General features: G+C 52.3%; 1 protein-coding gene and 1 long non-coding RNA gene across 2 annotated transcripts in view, besides 5 other annotated features; one reads left to right on the top strand and one right to left on the bottom strand.

The window, feature by feature from the left end:
* Window positions 1–8,225, bottom strand: part of PSD4 (pleckstrin and Sec7 domain containing 4) — a 35,421-nt gene extending 27,196 nt beyond the window's left edge. Inside the window, exon 1 of the mRNA NM_012455.3 lies at window positions 8,142–8,225. The gene's annotated coding sequence lies outside the window, so the exon portion shown is untranslated. The remainder of the gene's footprint in view (window positions 1–8,141) is intronic.
* On the top strand, window positions 6,428–10,848 carry LOC124907872 (uncharacterized). Its single transcript, XR_007087197.1, has 2 exons — window positions 6,428–6,926; window positions 10,171–10,848. It is a non-coding gene; the product is annotated as an uncharacterized LOC124907872 (long non-coding RNA).
* Window positions 7,653–7,742: an enhancer, noted in NCBI's record as "active region_16415". NCBI's record gives its function as "activates an Ori minimal core promoter by ATAC-STARR-seq in GM12878 lymphoblastoid cells {active_cell/tissue: GM12878}" and the evidence as "EXISTENCE:reporter gene assay evidence [ECO:0000049][PMID:35858748]".
* Window positions 8,363–8,532: an enhancer, noted in NCBI's record as "active region_16414". NCBI's record gives its function as "activates an Ori minimal core promoter by ATAC-STARR-seq in GM12878 lymphoblastoid cells {active_cell/tissue: GM12878}" and the evidence as "EXISTENCE:reporter gene assay evidence [ECO:0000049][PMID:35858748]".
* Window positions 8,583–8,652: an enhancer, noted in NCBI's record as "active region_16413". NCBI's record gives its function as "activates an Ori minimal core promoter by ATAC-STARR-seq in GM12878 lymphoblastoid cells {active_cell/tissue: GM12878}" and the evidence as "EXISTENCE:reporter gene assay evidence [ECO:0000049][PMID:35858748]".
* Window positions 8,882–9,382: an enhancer, noted in NCBI's record as "H3K4me1 hESC enhancer chr2:113930391-113930891 (GRCh37/hg19 assembly coordinates)". NCBI's record gives its function as "activates a minimal SCP1, AML or CMV promoter by ChIP-STARR-seq in naive and primed H9 embryonic stem cells {active_cell/tissue: H9 hESC(naive and primed)}" and the evidence as "EXISTENCE:reporter gene assay evidence [ECO:0000049][PMID:30033119]".
* Window positions 9,383–9,883: an enhancer, noted in NCBI's record as "H3K4me1 hESC enhancer chr2:113929890-113930390 (GRCh37/hg19 assembly coordinates)". NCBI's record gives its function as "activates a minimal SCP1, AML or CMV promoter by ChIP-STARR-seq in primed H9 embryonic stem cells {active_cell/tissue: H9 hESC(primed)}" and the evidence as "EXISTENCE:reporter gene assay evidence [ECO:0000049][PMID:30033119]".
* Window positions 10,849–14,555: the final 3,707 nt, after the last annotated feature.

The following is a 14,555-nucleotide window of genomic DNA, read 5'->3' as shown; positions in this document are numbered from 1 at the left end:
GTGTACCACATATTCCATCTGATCCCACAATCTCTAAACTTGCACCAGGGCAGCACCTGCCCCAAAGACACCCATCTGTTGGCTGAAGGTAGCCCATGTGGCTTAGCTGAAAAGAACAAACTGGCCAAATCAGATCCTTCTCTTGGGCATTTGGATTGGAGAGTGTGGAGACCGAGGTGGTTGGCAGCAGGAACTGAAGGCGGAAATGCCTCTAGGTATCAAGGAAGCAGCTGCAAGCCACAAAGGACATGTAAACCAAAGCATGTGGGAGCCAAACAGACACAGACGAGGTGAGGAGAATGCAACAGACTCATGGAAGAAGCAGGCACCCACGACATGAAGGCCACAGCCTGCCTTACTTCCACTTTCCAAGGCTCCTATCCTTGGGGCCTTACCCTGTTCACCAGGCTGGCTCACAGCCTGCTTCTTTGTCCTTGTAAGCTGTTGGCAGCTTGGAATTTGGCCCAGGTGGAAGCAGCAAGGGGCTCTCTGCTTAACTCAGCCCAAGCCCTCATGAAGGGAGGATGCTTCAGCCCTGCTGCCTACCACCCAGCAGACTGCCTGCTGCATGGGGAGGAGATCTCTGCCTTCTAGGGAGGAAGAGGCTGGGATGTGGCAGCCATGTCTGCCTGGAACTGCCTCACATCTGCCCAGAGCTGCTGTGTGCACAGCCTGCACTAACACTCTGGGTGGGCCCTTATCAGATGAGCCCAGGAACCTCGCAGGGTGTTTTCTAGAAGCATGCATTTCCATCCCCTGCATGCAGCCCACCGCTTACACGGCTCTCAGAGCAGCCCTGCTTCCTCAGAATAGCTGGCTTGTTTTGATCCAAAGCACACTGTGAAGCTTGTAACTTGTTTGTCTCATGGTGCTGGCTCTCCACAAAGTGGAAGTGCAGGGTCAAGTACACAGGTCCTTATGGCATGTCGTAAGCACTCCCCTGGCAGCTGTCTTTTTTTTTTTTTTTTGAGACAGAGTCTCGCTCTGTCACCCGGGTTGGAGTGTAGCGGCACAGTCTTGGCTCACTGCAACCTCTGCCTCCTGGGTTCAAGCGATTCTCCTGCCTCAGCCTCCCGAGTAGCTAGAATTATAGGCGTCTACCACCATGCTCTGCTAATTTTTTTTTTTTTTTGTATTTCTAGTAGAGATGGGGTTTCACCATGTTAGCCAGGCTAGTCTCGAACTCCTGACCTCAAGTGATCTGCCCACCTTGGCCTCCCAAAGTGGTGGGATTATAGGTGTGAGCCGCTGCACCCAGCAGCTGTCTTTTCTTATTTTCCCTTTGCCTCATTTTCTTCACTCACAGATTTCTATCTTGAAGGCTTACGTGCGTGCTTGTGAGCTATATTAGAATATTTTGGGGAGCAAGACTATTAACAAACACACACATGCTCCCAGTTTATAACCACGTGTGACTTCCAGATACCCAAGAACAACAGCCCCTTCCACATGCAGTTAACCATGCCTGTCCCCACCCACCACTCCCCCAACCTCGCACCTGAAAGATGAGCAGTCCCCTGCGTGTCGCTGTTTAACAGATGAGGAAGCCTTAGCCTGAGTCTGGCTTAATGACTCACAGCTGGTGACAGGGGCCGGACTCCGACCCCAGACCATCCACCTTCCGGTCTGCAGCTCTCTCTGCCCTTTCCCTGCTCCAGTATGAAGAGAGTGAGCCCAGGTGGCCTCGTCCAGGGCTCCAGACCTCACACTGAGATCCTCCCACAGGCAGGCTGTAGGACAGGAGCTTGACTGGCATGCAGGGCCCTAACCAGCACACATAACAAACCCATGGGGGTCAGCTCCTCCCTGCCCAGCACTAGAGAACATAAGCTGAATCAATAGCCACATGGACTGCAGCTCAAACCCTCGTCCTGCCACATACAACTGAGTGGATAAGCCTGGAAAGTTCCTTAGCATCTGGGAGCCCCACTGCAGTGGGGAGCTAGGGTTAACGGAGGTGATTCGCGCGGCCTTCAGCCCAGGCTTGGCCCACTGTTAGACACTCAGTAAATGGTAACCCTCAGCGCTCTCTCACGAAGGTCAGGGGGTCCAGCTGTTATTCAAGGTCACCTAGAAAACATTGCTTTGCCCCACGCCTTTTTTCTGGAGGGCACCTGAGAGAAGGAAGGAGGGCCAGTATGCATTTCAGTTTCTTATTCACCTTGAAAGTATCCTTTTTCTAAAAGTGCCTCCAAAAGAAATCTCTTTCTGGGTTTTTACCCCTCCCTCTGACCCAACCCTTGCATTCCTGTTTTAGAATAACAAGAATCTAGACTTGCTGGATGACACCCTCAGGATTCTGATGTTCCAGCCCACCCGGAATGGTCCCTGACCGGCCTTCAGGGCCCTTCCACCTGTTAGTTAAGGCAGCCTCCCCAACAGGCTGACTTTCCGAGAGGAGAGGCCCTTTCTTATGTTTAATCTTGTACTTGATGCTCTGAATCAAATGGACCAGATTTGGTCTCATCAGAGATGTTTGAACCAGAGTGGCTCCATCTTGAATAGGGGCTGGGTAAAATAAGGCTGAGACCTACTGGGCTGCATTCCCGGGAAGCTAGGCATTCTAAGTCACAGGATGAGATAAGAGGTCGGCTCAAGATACGGGTATCCTTAATCCAGCAGCCCAAGCGCTGCTCTGCCTATGGAGTAACCATTCTTTTATTCTTTTACTTTGCTAATAAACTTGCCCTCATTTTATGGATTCACCTTGAATTCTTTCTTGCACGAGATCCAAGAACCCTCTCTTGGGGTCTGGATTGGAATCCCTTTCCATTAACAGTCTTGCCTTTCATTCTTCTCCTATGGATCCAGCCTTCACTCATCATTCTAGGTTCTGCCTCTCCACCTCCCACCACTACCTCCAGGTAACAGGCAGAGGATTTGTATGGTTTACTCCTTAAGTCCATACCACTCTCTGCTCCCCATGCAGCTGCCCATTGTCACCCTCAGTGCTCTCTGGGCAAGAGGCCTGAGACGGTTCTACTTCTAAGGCAGAAGGGATGAGGAGCCTCAGGATCTATTGTCTATACTAGGGAAAACACCCTGGACCCCAAATCTCCCTCCCCAAACCTGCCTGGTGGAGAGCAACCGAGTGTGAGCAAGGAGGTGACTCACCCCACCACATCCCACTGCGCCTCCTCAAGACACCAGCCCATGGGGTATAATAAATGACTAGGAAGACATGTTTATTTAGAGATAGAGGGGAAAGCTGGGGAGAAGCACCTGGTTTACAGGTACCAGAACATAGGACATCCCTAGCTCTACTCAACTGCCTCCCTTCCCAGACCCCAAAGCCACCCTCCACGTCTCTGTAAAGTCCTGGTCTTTGGGCCCAAATAGTTCTCCTGCCATGCAAAATCCCTGATCCCTTCTCCTGTTCTCATTCACCCAACTCCACACATTGTACCTGAATGAGTGCCAGCCTCATGGCCCTATGAGCCCCAGAGCATTTTGCCAGGATAACGCCAACCCACCTTCTCTCACCATCAGTCAACTCACTTGGCAAGAAACGTTCCCGTGCCAATATGGGAATGGGAGTGGGAATGCGGGGCTGGGCCTGCTAGAAAGGACATCCTGAATTTTTCATAAGATGAGAGGAAACCCCACTTGTCTCTCTTTGCACATATGTACTTGCAAATAGATATGTATATGTACATAAAGCAGCCCTCTAGGTACACGCTAATGCTGATACTAGATACAAGTGAGGATTGGACTTGCCTTCCCAGAAAAAAACCAGCGTTCCTTGCTGGGTTTTTTCAGAGGAAAAAAAATAAATACCAGAGGCTGCAGCAGCTTTCCGAGCAAAGAGAAGAGAGCAGATCTCTGGGGCCTGCAGCACCTGAGGAGCCTGGGAGGGGTGGGGGTGAGGAACTGGTCAGTGGAGGGGAGCCCAAGGCAATGGAGACAGGAAGGGTGGAGACAGATCAGGTATTCAGTGGGGACAAGGCATGTAGTTTGACTGGCTGCGACATTTTTTTTTAGACGGTATCTTGCTCTGTCACCCAGGCTAGAGTGCAGTGGCATGATCTTAGCTCACTGCAACTTCTGACTCCCAGGTTCAAGCGATTCTCCTGTCTCAGCCTCCCAAGTAGCTGGGACTACAGGCACCCGCCATCATGCCTTGCTAAGTTTTGTATTTTTAGTAGAGATGGGGTTTCACCATATTGATCAGGCTGGTCTCAAACTCCTGACCTCAGGTGATCCACCTACCTTGGCCTCCCAAAGCGCTGGGATTATAGGCATGAGCCACAGCACCTGGCCGGCTATGACTTTTTAAACCAATTAAACTCAATGTGACTATACTCCACCCCTCGCTTTTACTTTCTGAGCGTTTATCCCGGTGTGTAGTTGCCAGTGTGTTTACCCGCGTGGTTCTAGTTTGCCTAGAAGGTAAGCACCAAGATGGCAGGTTCTTTATGTTTCCTGTTCGCCACTGTGTCTCAGTATGAAAATATTGAATGGCATAGTCACATTATGTAACTGATTTGTCAACCACTCCGACCCACAAGGTCTGGGGGCATACTTTAGTTCAACTGGATTTGAAATTTAAAGATCAGCATTGACTTGAGGGGTTTAGTTCAAGTGGATTAGAAACTTAAAGGTTAGCGTTGACGTAAGAGGTTCAGGCCCCCCTGTGACTTGAGCTGGTGTGCGAACCCAGGTTACAGCTCTCTTAAGCATCATTCTCTCCTCCTGCCCCACTGATCAATTCTCTTGGACATTCCTGAATTCACTTGAGTCACTCAAACTCCTGTACAGCGCCTCCTTGACTGAGAGTCGGCGTTGTAGAACATTTGTGAAAATAAGAGAGGGGATGGCTAGATGAATGGACAGACAAATGGAGAGACACACTGATGGGATGGATCCTCAGAACTCTCCCTCCACAACAACCAGGCCAGAAGACGGGGAAGACCGAGGCTTGGAGAAGAGAATTAGCATCATTATAATATGAAGGCTTCCCCACGGGGGCCAGTCTGCCCATGACCAATCACCTCATCCTCCCCTCTCCAGGAAGTCCAGTGCTCCAAGGGCAGTGCTCCCCCAGAGGTAGGTTCCTACCAGGTCAGCAGCCAAAATGTCCCTGTGGGTCTTGGCTCCCAGGCAGCAACCCGAACAGAAAGGAGGACCCATTCAATTGTCTTGTTTGTGCTCTCCATTTGTGCAGGGGGCACTGTGTAACTGTGTGTTTAAAAGATGTCTTCCTTCTGTTTTTTAATTGCTCTTGCCTGAATGGAAAGGTAGGATGACCTAAAAGGTGAAGTCACCTCCTAAGGCCAAAAAGGCAGTCCTACCGGTCACCCAGGTGAGGGCGGTCTGATCTCAGAAGGGTGGAGGATGGAACTAGCCTTTGATCCCTGAGGTAGGATGGCACCCTCTAGGCAGAGGCAGGCCAGAAACTGGGCAGCAGAGCCCAGGTCTTACGCATCTAAAATTTTCTTGGTTTACTTGTGTTTTTCCACCCCTGGTGTTTAGCAAAATCTCTCTTGAAATCTCCTGTCTGTTATCCCAACCAGAACGAAAGCAGAAGGAAAGGAATTCGCAGCAAAGGAATCGCCACCTGTCACATCAGTTGAGTTCTGTTACCTCTACATTAAAGTGGCCCTTCAGTTTTTCTGAGCTCTGAGGTGGCTCTGAAAGTTTAAGGAGGGTTCAGAGGGGAGGGAGCCGAGGTGGGGAAGAGAGAGCACTGCTCCACTCTGCTGCCAACCAGCCACTCTTCTTGAGCACAGCTGACTACATTTCAGAGAATCTTCACCACGGTGGGGAGGGGGTGTATGTTTCTCATGGAGAATACTGCAAGGGCTAAGCCTTATGTCCCTCTTGTGGGAGGTGAAACACACAGAAAGCAATGGCTGAGGGACTAGAAGGCAGAGTCCCTCCCACCTGCCCCACCCCCGGCTTCAAGGCAATTTCTTTTTGACCCAAGGGGGCAGGAAGGAACCCAGCTGACACCTGGCACCCGGACGGTGCTTTCTAACAGTGAGTTTGTTTTTCACCCTCAGCCTGGCATTGCAGCCTTGTACCCTGGCTGAAGAACGGGGAGACCGGGCACAGAGGCTGGGGTATGAGCCTGCCCTGAGTAGGAAGGTGATGGCCTTGGGTGCCCTGCACTGACCACCCTCCTTTGCCCACTTCAGGGTCATAGTGAAGAATGCAGAGCAGAATCCCATCCTAACTCTACAGCTGACAAGCCATGTGGCTCTGGGTGAAAAACTCCACCTGGTTCCTTTTCTGTAAAATAAGGAACCAAGACCCAATAAAGCTATACTTCACAGGTTTGTTGTAAAGTTGGAATGGGTCTGAGTGCTGGGCCTGGCCCTTGGTGGGTGCTCAGGAAATACCGTGTCCTGCTCAGTTTAATTTTGTTGTTTTGCTGTCCATTTAGAGAAGCCAAAATTAACAAAAACAAACAAATAGCCCTCCTGGTCAGGCTCAGCTCTCAGCCTCCTCAAGGAGTCAGCCCTGAACCTTCATCCGGAGGGTGCCTGTCTCTGTTTCCCTTTTTGAGCTTCCAGACTCAGCAAGCAAACGCTCCCTCCTTTTACCCTGGAAATGTTTTCCCTCCTATGGAAAAGGTATGAAGGCTTCTGGCCGGTCCAAGGACTTAGGAGGTGACCTGTCCTGTCCCTCTGCAGCCCGAGAAGCTGCCGAATTACAGATGTTGCTGCAGGCAGGAACCATGAGTGGAACTCCCTGGCCTGGAGCTGCAGGACAGAGGCCTCTGTCTGAACCTGGGGTCTGAAGCACCGTGAGAGAAATGACTCGAGAAGGCCCCACATCCTGCCCACACAGAAAGAGCCATCATGCAAATTTGCACGCACACACACACACACAGAGAGAGAGAGAGAGAGAGAAGACAGTGCTACTGAAGGCCTGTGGTGAGGCCAGCAGAGGCTCAGGAAGGGAGCAGAGGATGGCGGTCTGAGGTAGGCAGAGAGTATCCAGGGGAGAGATCACGGGGGTAGGGACAGAATGACAAAGGGGACCCAGTACAGCTGCTGCCTGGGGAGGACAAAGACCCCTAGGGGGCTGGGGCCAGGCTGGGCCTCTCCTCCCTGGGTCCTCTCACCCCACATCCCTCACCCCTTCTGTGGGTCTCTCCCCCTTCCCCAACAAAGAGCTCAGCAGCCTGTGTTCTGATCCCCATGCTAGGCGGTTCCTTGTCTGTAGGAGGAGGGGGCCACGGGATGCTCTAGAGTCCTAGGCAGCTGGGAGACAGGCCTGCTTGGGGACCACTTTTTAAAGCTGGTCCAAGGTCCAATGAACGGAGGAGTATTTATCATCAGCTAATGACAGGCCACCCTTCCCTGCATTCTAGCAGAGGAGTGACTTCAACTGTGGAATTTTAGGCCCTGGAATAAGGGGGGAATGGCAGTGTCAGGGGACTTTCCCTCCATGCAGCTACCTTCACTATAACAATAATGACTACAGTGGGCCTTAGTTTCCTACACAGGCACACTTTGAGAGTTCAGTGGTTCCTGTTGCCCATCAGGACAACAGGCCTAAGCCAGAGCTAAACCAGTAAGGAGGGTCCCCTTACCTCTCCTCGAGCTTCTCCAGGATGGTCCTGGAAGGCAAGATGAAGCTGGGAGCCCCCTGATGGCCAAGTTGACTCTGAGCTCCTGCAGCAACCACACCCAGAGCCACCCCCACCCCAAACCCAGGCCTTCCAGACTCCCTCTCTCCAGAGTCTAGGGTCGAGAATCACTTGGGACCTTTGGCCACAAAAGCCCCCACTGGGTACTCAGCCAGAGCAGTCACTGGGGACGCAGTGACACTCACAAGAGGATTAGCAAGGAGCTTCCTTCACCCTTCACTATTGCAGACCTCCAGAGGCTCTGCGGGGAGCCAGGGAAGGGAAACAACAGAGGTCCGTGGGGCCAGGGCAGGGAATCAGAGAAGGGTCAGATGAGGAGGGGTAGGCTGAGGGAGGAGGGGGACGGGACACAGAGCAGGAAGGGGGAAGGAGGGGCCTAGCCTAGCCCAGGCTCATGGCAGGTGCACACGGCACTGCCAGAGCCCTCGCCTCTCCCCTGCCCACCTGCCCCAGCCCCTGCCACAAGGACCCACATGTGACTCTCCACATTCCCTGCTCCCACAGGTTCCACCAGCCCCAACCTAGGCAGACCCACTTAGCTCACCTCCAAAGGACCCAAGAATGGATGGCTTGGCCTGGGCTCCCCAAGAGCACTTCCTGGCTCACAGTCGGCTTGCCCAGTGAATGTGGCTGTGACGGCTGGAGCTTCCGACTTCCGCTCCTCCTCACCACAACACACACCCCTCCTGCTCCCCGCCGCCTCCCCAGGGTTCCCTAGCTGCTCAACACCTCACACTTCCTGCCCACAAGATAAGAGCCTCTCTTCCTAGGCCCAGCGCCTGCAGCCCCTTTCCCCATGCCCCTGCTCCTTGGAGGCCCCCACCCTGCACACCAGCCTAGAAAGAACCTGCCATGGTGGAACTGGCCTCTCCCTGCCATGCAGGGGCCTGGGATTGAAAGGGGAAGGGGCCGAGGCCTGGTTGGTAAGCAGGCCCCACCTCCTTCCTCCCTGCGCTTCTGCCCCAGGTTCTCAGTCTTGCTCTGGCTCTTGGTCCCCTGCAGGGCACCCAGTGAGAGACAGGAGGGCCCTAAGTTGGGCAATTTCTGGTTTTAAAACAAATGACATTTCAATTTTTGTGTGACTATGTCTCATGTCACTGGTAATAATGCAAATGATACAATTGCCTTTTAGTTACAAAGTTTCTCCCAATAGTACCTCAATCCCTCCTCACACCTACTTTATGAAGCATTAATAACCCCATCATACAGATCCGGATCTGGAGGCAAGCTCAGAGATGCTAAGCCACTGCCCAGGGTTGCACAGCTGGAAAATTACAAAGCTGGGGTTAGAATACAGAGCCTGTGACTATATGAACCAAGGGACCTCCATTCCCCGTGGCTGAATTCCCAACACACGTCCTCAGGACACCGGCCGCAGTGTCCACAAGTGTAAGTGAGGCTGGTGGGGAGCGCAAACACCATGCCATTCTCCTCCCTCCACACAATCTACTTCCTCAACATCAATGACCGTCAACTTCTCTGCTGAGGCTCCACCACTCCCACCCTCCCTGAACTCTCGTCTTCATGATTCCAGCTGACCCAGAGACTCCCTCACTTGCATGTCCACACAGCAGTGGGGACCAGCCACCCTGACCCAGAGTTGAGAGGGTCGGGCTCTAGCTCACCTACAGCCGCACCCCTCCCTGCAGGGTACAGAGTCCACAGGAACATACCAACATGGAGCCCGTGCACCCTGCTTCTCCACCACACTCTGCGTGCCCCAGATCCCGAGACTCTCCACTTCTGGGGCCCAAATGGCCTCCTCCCCATGTGGGCACACAGCACCGCTGCCCTATGCAGCCTGAGACTGGGTGAAGCGCTGGCAAGAGTCCTGATAGCAGAGACGGGAGCAGGTAGAGAGAGCTCAAACCTTTGGGCAGGTCACCCACCCACATGCACGTGTGATACAGAGCAGGGTGGGGAAGAGAAAGGGAGGTGGAGCTGTGGCGTGGGCCAAAGGCTGGGGTGGGCTGTGCTGTGGCAGCAACATTCAGAGGCGGCTAAGAATCCTCCTTCAAACCTGGAGCTCCAGGCCATGATGAAAGTGGGAGGTAGGAGAATTAGGAGAATAGACACTTTTTTTTTTTTTGAGACCAAGTTTCGCTCTTGTTGCCCAGGCTGGAGTACAGTGATGCCATCTAGGCTCACCACAACCTCCACCTCCCAGGTTCAAGTGATTCTCCTGCCTCAGACTCCCAAGTAGCTGGGATTACAGGCATGCGCCACCACGCCCGACTAATTTTGTATTTTTAGTAGAGACGGGGTTTCTCCATGTTGGCGAGGCTGGTCTCGAACTCCCAACCTCAGGTGATCCGCCCGCCTCGGCCTCCCATAGTGCTAGATTACAGGCGTGAGCCACCGCACCCGGCAGGACACATTTTATATGACAGTTTGTGAGCTTTAGTCTTAACTTTCATGTATTTGGACATATCAGATGGGGTCCTCCACTCTCCACTTCCCAGGGCTGGCAAATGTTGGGGACATGCTTATCTCACCAGCACTTCAAACTCAATGTTTATAAGGCAAACCTGGTTCCTTCTCTTCTCCAAGCTCTTCTTCCTCATATATTTCAGGTTTTACAACTCTCTCTCTCCATCAAGCTGGGTAAGTCAGAAACCTGAAGTCACCAAGACCTAAATGCAAACCCTCCACTCTGGGCCCCAGCCGCTAGGGGTGTCTCCGGAACATGGCCAAGGCTCAAAGTCAGCACCTGCTCTGTGCAGGCTCTATGCTACAAGCCGCTGACCTATCAGGAATAAAACACATGACCCCTGTGGAAGCTGAAGCAACTCCATCTTGGAAGCTAACCTGCCACATTGACTTAACTGAGTGACCCCAGTTCCAAGGCAGGGCCTCTACAATTTCCAGTTTATCTATTGTTTCCTGTGTAAGAGCAGATACTTACTGTAAGTCCGTAAGTGCTACTCGTAGGTCAAACAACCTTGATGATATCACACTTCAATTGTCTTATAAATCCCATCTGAACCACTCCTACCCTATGGTATATGAGCCCTGGGTTTGGGTGCTAATGCGGGGATCCACCATCTCATCTCATTGCCGCCTGAGACACCTACATGGCTTCTGTTGGAAAGTCCCCTAGCTTTCTCAGCCTCTTTCTTCAACTTCTCAACTTCCTCAGACTTTGGGGTAGGTTTGCATAGGCCTGTCTACTGCAGAACAACTCCTGTTCTCAGGGAGCTTCCAGTCTACTGACAGAGAAAGAAAATAAACAATCGGACTTATGAATCAAACTTTATCATAAATTGTGAAGAATGCCTGGGAAGAAGCAGAGAGAAATAAGAGAGCAGCAAGGGTGAGCACACTGCCGTGGGAATTCGGGAAGGTCTCTGAAGCTGCACCATGTCCTGGTGAGGAGGGTCCAGTATGGAAGGGCATTTTCGGCTTCTAATTCCTTCCCTGAGGTGGGAAATGTCTCCACATTTCCAGGGAATAGAAAGCAAGCCAGTGTGGTGCAGCGCAGTCCCAGGGTCCCAGGGGGTGTGGGAAAAGATGGGGCCAGGAGGGGCAGGGCCAGATCCCACAGGCACCCCAGTGGCAAGACAGGGTGCATTTTTTTTTTTGAGACAGTCTCACTCTGTCACCCAGGCTGGGGTGCAGTGGTATGATCTCAGCTCACTGCAACCTCTGCCTCCCAGGTTCAAGCAATTCTCTTGCCTCTGCCTCCCAAGGAGCTGGGATTACAGGTATCTGCCACCACATCTGGCTAATTTTTGTATTTTTAGTAGAGACAGGATTTCATCACGTTGGCCAGGCTGGTCTCAAACTCCTGACCTCAAGTGATCCACTTGCCTCGGCCTCCCAAAGTGCTGGGATTACAAGCATGAGCCACCATATCCAGCCCAGGGTGCATTTTTGTTTGTTTGTTTTTTGAGATGGAGCCTCACTCTGTCGTCCAGGCTGGAATGCAGTGGTGCGATCTCGGCTCACTGCAACCTCCACCTCCTGAGTTCAAGCGATTCTCCTGCCTCAGCCTTCAGAGTAGCTGGGACTACAGGGGCCCGCCACCATGTCTGGCTAATTTTTTGTATTTTTAGTAGAGACGGGGTTTCACCGTGTTAGCCAGGATAGTCTCGATCTCCTGACCCCATGGTCCGCCCACCTTGGTCTCCCAAAGTGCTGGGATTACAGGCATGTGCCACAGCGCCTGGCCTTGTTTGTTTGTGTGTTTTTAAGATGGAGTCTTGCTCTGTCTCCCAGGCTGAAGTGCAATGGCGAGATCTTGGTTCACTGCAACCTCCACCTCCTGAGTTCAAGCGATTCTACTGCCTCAGCCTCCCGAGTAGCTGGGATTACTAATGTGTGCCACCACACCCAGCTCGTTTTTGTATTTTTAGTACAGATGGGGTTTCACCATGTTGGCCAGGCTGGGTCTTGAACTCCTGCCCTCAGGTGATCCGCCCACCTTGGCCTCCCAAAGTGCTGAGATTACAGGCGTGAGCCACCATGCCTGACCCCCAGGGTGCATTTTTAAAGCAGAGAAATGACAGGTCAAAGAGTATTTGTGTATTTACTTTTAAGATCATCCATCTGCTATATGGAGAATAGATGGACCTGTCTGCTGTATGGAGAAGAGATGGTAGAGGCTACGTAAGTTCAAGGAGACCAGTCAGGAGGCTCTGTGAGAGTCCAGGCAATGGGGGAGAGTGGCTTGGCTGGGGCAGTCACGGCAAAGAAGAGAGGCATAGGGCTGGGAATGCATATGGGGGATGATTATAGAACCTGCTCTTTCATTATATTCGAGGGGACAAGATGGGAGGGGAAGTCATGGGCAACTTCCAGATTTCTGACTTAAGCAACCAGATGGGCAGTAATAATGGCATTTCCTGAAATAGGAAAGAACTGGGAGATGAGGCTCAGGGGAGAAAATCCAGAGTTTAACTTTTATTTATTTATTTATTATTTATTTATTTATTTATTTATTTATTTTGAGATGGAGTTTCGCTCTTGTTGCCCAGGTTGAAGTGCAATGGTGCTATCTTGGCTCACAGCAACCTCCGCCTCCTAGGTTCAAGCGATTCTCCTGCCTCAGCCTCCCAAGTAGCTGGGTTTACAGGCATGCACCACCACGCATTTTGTATTTTTAGTAGAGACGGGGTTTCTCCATGTTGGTCAGGCTGGTCTTGAACTCTCGACCTCAGGTGACCTGCCCACCTTGGGCTCCCAAAGTGTTGGGATTACAGGCTGAGCCACCATGCCCGGCCCAGAGTTTAATTTTTAAATATTGGATTTGAACTACCTGTGAGATATTTCAAGTAGGCAACTGAAAAACGCACCTGGAGCCCATCTGAGCTTGGAGAGAGAAGGTGGTGCCTACCTGGGATGGGAGGGGACAGGTCTGCAAAGGAGACTGAAAAGGGACTGTCACAAAGGTGAGAGAAGCAAGGGGAGAGCCATGTTGTCACAGAAGACAAGAGGAGGTTACTTCAGACGGAGGAAGTGGTTGGCTTGGTTGATTGCTGCTGAAAAGTGGAGGAGATTAGAAGCGAAAGTGATCTATATTGAACATGGCCAGAGGTTATGGACAAGTGGGGTTGGCAGCAGATGCGGAGGCAGAAGCCAGGAGACCAAGAGGTGAAGTGTCACCTCCTCAAGTTCGGGCTCTGCCCCGTCCCGTCCAGACTTCCTGGTAATCCATGGTTTCCTGAGGCTGAAAGGGAGGCACCAGTGATCTTCCCCCTTCCCCAAGTCCAGGCCTGCCGCTTGGCTTAGTTATGGGTTCCCATCCTCCCCTTGACCATGAACTTCTCCAGGGCAAGGACTGGCCCATGTGCTTTACAGCGGAGTGCCTGGCTCACAATTGCTCCACAGCCATTTGATGAATGAATAAAGGTTGCTCAGCCTCTCTTCAAGACTGTACTAAAGGGAATGGGACCTGCCTCTCCCCGTTGCTTCCACGCAGTGGGTCTTGCATATGTACGGGGTGTGTGTGTGTGTGTGTGTGTGTGTGTGTGTGTGTGTGTGTGTGTGTTGGGAGTTCCCTCCCCAGCCTTTCCTCCTCCCCACGGCACAGAGGACACACAACACAGCAGACACACAGCACAGCCAGGCAGCTCTCCTGCCTCCCTCAAGGTAAGATGCTTCCTGTTTGCCTGCAGAAGAAGCTGCTCAGCACAGGTGGCTTCTCCACACAGAGCACAGACCAGGGAGTGGAGCCCACCTTCCAGGAGAGGGGCCCTGGGGATTTCAGCATACAGCCCCTCCTGGGAGGCGAGGGGAGAGAGGAGAGAGGCCACCAATGAAAGAAATGGCACCTGACATAAACCCCATGACACTTTCCTGAGGACCCCAATGTGTTGACACTTACCGGGTCCTCTCCATGCATCATCTCTAGTTCCTGGGGGTCTGAGGTCAGGGTTAGGGGCTTTATCATCTCCAGGCTACAGACCAGATGAGGAGACGGAGGGTCCACAGTCACTCAGGCTTGCACAGGCAGGAAATGGTAAGACTGGGATTGGAATTAGGCCTGTGGAACCTTCCCAATGCACTTTCTGCTGTACCCCGTTACCACTGCATGCTGCAGAAATGAAAACCCAGGTGGGGAGCAGGGCTTCTTTCCAAACGAGCAGAGCTAGACACGGTAAGCCTGACTCACGTCTCCCAACTGGAAGTTCAGGAAAACCCTTGTGCTAATGGAGCTGAAATATTGTCCTGGGGCAGGGTGAGAAAGGAGGACTGAAGCATCTAAATGGGCTTCAAATTAGTCTCCATAAAGTCTCCATACTTTAGAGAAGGCTGAGAGTGAGGCGGCCACATGCTCCTTTCTCCAGAAAAGGCCCTCTTCCCTCCCAGCTGTCTGACCTCCACAAGCCTCGGCCCTGGAGAAGGGCAGACAGAACACCTGCCTCTCCAACCATTCCTCTGCCTGGTTGGATGTTTACAGTCCCCCTGGCCAGCTCAGCTGTGGGCTCCCAGGATCAGAGCACGTAGGTAGGGCTGG

Source organism: Homo sapiens, chromosome 2 (genome assembly GCF_000001405.40).
Source record: "Homo sapiens chromosome 2, GRCh38.p14 Primary Assembly".
NCBI lineage: Eukaryota > Metazoa > Chordata > Mammalia > Primates > Hominidae > Homo > Homo sapiens.
This window is presented reverse-complemented; position numbering and strand designations above follow the sequence as displayed.